Source organism: Homo sapiens, chromosome Y, assembly GCF_000001405.40.
Source record: "Homo sapiens chromosome Y, GRCh38.p14 Primary Assembly".
NCBI lineage: Eukaryota > Metazoa > Chordata > Mammalia > Primates > Hominidae > Homo > Homo sapiens.
Window position 1 is genome coordinate 1,081,332 of NC_000024.10, and position 2,460 is coordinate 1,083,791.

The 2,460-nt window shown below is 47.8% G+C and overlaps 1 annotated feature.

Annotated features, from left to right (window-relative positions):
* Positions 506 to 1,045: an enhancer, noted in NCBI's record as "NANOG hESC enhancer chrX:1104952-1105491 (GRCh37/hg19 assembly coordinates)". NCBI's record gives its function as "activates a minimal SCP1, AML or CMV promoter by ChIP-STARR-seq in primed H9 embryonic stem cells {active_cell/tissue: H9 hESC(primed)}" and the evidence as "EXISTENCE:reporter gene assay evidence [ECO:0000049][PMID:30033119]".

Here is a 2,460-nt window from a genome sequence, read left to right on the forward strand (position 1 = left end):
AGGCTGAGGCAAGAGAATCACTTGAAACTGGGAGGCGGAGGTTGCAGTGAGCTGAGATCCCACCACTGCACTCCAGCCTGGGCAACAAGAGTGATACTCTATCTCAAAAAAAAAAAAAAAAAAAAAAAGCTGACTTAAATCTACAGTGGGATAGTATTCACTGTTACAAAGAAGGAAATTCTCGGCCAGGCATGGCGGCTCATGCCTGTAATCCCAGCACTTTGGGAGGCCAAAGCAGGCGGATCACCTGAGGTCAGGAGTTCAAGACCAGCCTGGCCAACATGGTGAAACCCCGTCTTTACTAAAAATACAAAAATCAGCCAGGTATGATGGCAGGTGCCTGTAGTCCCAGCTACTCAGGAGGCTGAGGCAGGAGAATCGCTTGAACCCGGGAGGCAGAGGTTGCAGTGAGCTGAGATCGTGCCATTGCACTCCAGCCTGAGTGACAGAGCGAGACTCTGTCTCAAAAGAAAAGACAAAAAACAAAATCAAACAAACAACAGCAAAAACAAACAACAAACAATCTGACGTCAACCTACAGTGGGATGGTATTCACCGTTAAAAAGACGGAAATGCTAACATGTATTAGTCAAGTTTCTCTAAAGAGACAGGACTAATAAAATAGATGAATATATGCAGGGCAGTTTGTGAGGCCTCTGAGCCCAAGCCAAGCCATCGCATCCCCTGTGACTTGCACGTATATGCCCAGGTGGCCTGAAGTAACTGAAGAATCACAAAAGAAGTGAAAACGTCCTGCCCTGCCTTAACTGATGACATTCCACCACAAAAGAAGTGAAAATGGCCGGTCCTTAAGTGATGACATTACCTTGTGAAAATCCTTTTCCTGGCCCATCCTGGCTCAGAAAGTTCCCCCACTGAGCACCTTGCAACCTCCACTCCTGCCCGCCAGAGAACAAACCCCCTTTGACTGTAATTTTCCTTTATCTACCCAAATCCTATAAAAGAGCCCCACCCTTATCTCCCTCCCCTGACTCTGTTTTCGGACTCAGCCCGCCTGCACGCAGGTGATTAAAAGTTTTATTGCTCACACAAAGCCTGTTTGGTGGTCTCCACACGGACGTACATGAAAGAGTTTATCGGAAGAATTAGCTCACACGATCACAAGGTAAAGCCCTACAATAGCCCGTCTACAAGCTGAGGAGGCAGGAAGCCAGTCTGAGTCCCAAAACCTCAAAAGTAGGGAAGCTGACATGGCAGCCTTCAGTCTGTGGCCGAAAGCTCAAGAGTCCCTGGTAAAACCACTGGTGTCAGTCCAAGAGTCCAAAAGGCGAAGAGCTTGAAGTCTGAGTTTCAATGGCAGGAAGTGTCCAGCACAGGAGAAAGATGGAGGCTGGAAGATACAGCCAGTCTAGTCCTTGCACGCTCCTTTGCCTGCTTTATTCTAGCTGCGGTGGCAGCAGATGAGAGGGTGCCCACCCAGCTTGAGGGTGGCTGTGCCTCTCCCAGTCCACTGACTCAAATGTTATTCTCCTTTGGCAACACCCTCACAGATACACCCAGGAACAATACTTTGCATCCTTCCGTTCAATCAAGTTGACGCTCAGTATTAACCATCGCATAACACCTGCTCCAACACGGATGGACCTTTGAGAACATGACGCTGAGAGAAAGAAGCCAGATGCAAAAAGACAAATACTCTAGGATTCCACTTATATGAGGTCCCTAGAGTCGTCAAATTTGTAGACACGGAAAATAGAGTCGTGGGTGCCGGGGGCTTGGGGAGGGAGAAAAGGGGACAGAGTTTCAGTTTTGCAAGACGGGAAACGTCAAAAAGATTTTTTGCATAAAAAGGGAAAAGACTTACCGGGTACGGTGGCTTATACCTGTAATTCCAGGACTTTGGGAGGCCGAGGTGGGCGGGGGCGGATCATCTGAGGTCGGGAGTTCAAGACCAGCCTGAGCAATATGAAGAAACCCTGTCTCTACCGAAAATACAAAAATTAGCCGGGCATGGTGGCAGGTGCCTGTAGTCCCAGCTACTCGGGAGGCTGAGGCGGGAGAATCGCTTGAACCTGGGAGGCAGAGGTTGCAGTGAGCTGAGATCGCGCCATTGCACTCCAGCCTGGGCAACAGGAGCGAGATTCCATCTCAAAAAAAAAAAAAAAAAAGGAAAATACATAAAACGGCTAAATTGCCCTCTTACAAAGGCTCAAGATGGTAAATTTTATGTCTCATGTGGGGTTTTTTTAACCTCAATCAAAAATTATGGAAACAAGATAAATACCAAAATTATATTTATAGGGTTTATACGGTTGTGACCCAAACAGTGGAATTTGTAGGGTTGTGACCCAGAGGGCTAAGATTCGTAGGGTTACGACCCAGAGGGCTAGAATTGATAGGGTTGTGTCCCAGGGGGCTAAGATTCGTAGGGTTATGACCCAGAGGGCTAGAATTCATAGGGTTGTGACCCAGGGGGCTAAGATTTGTAGGGTTATGACC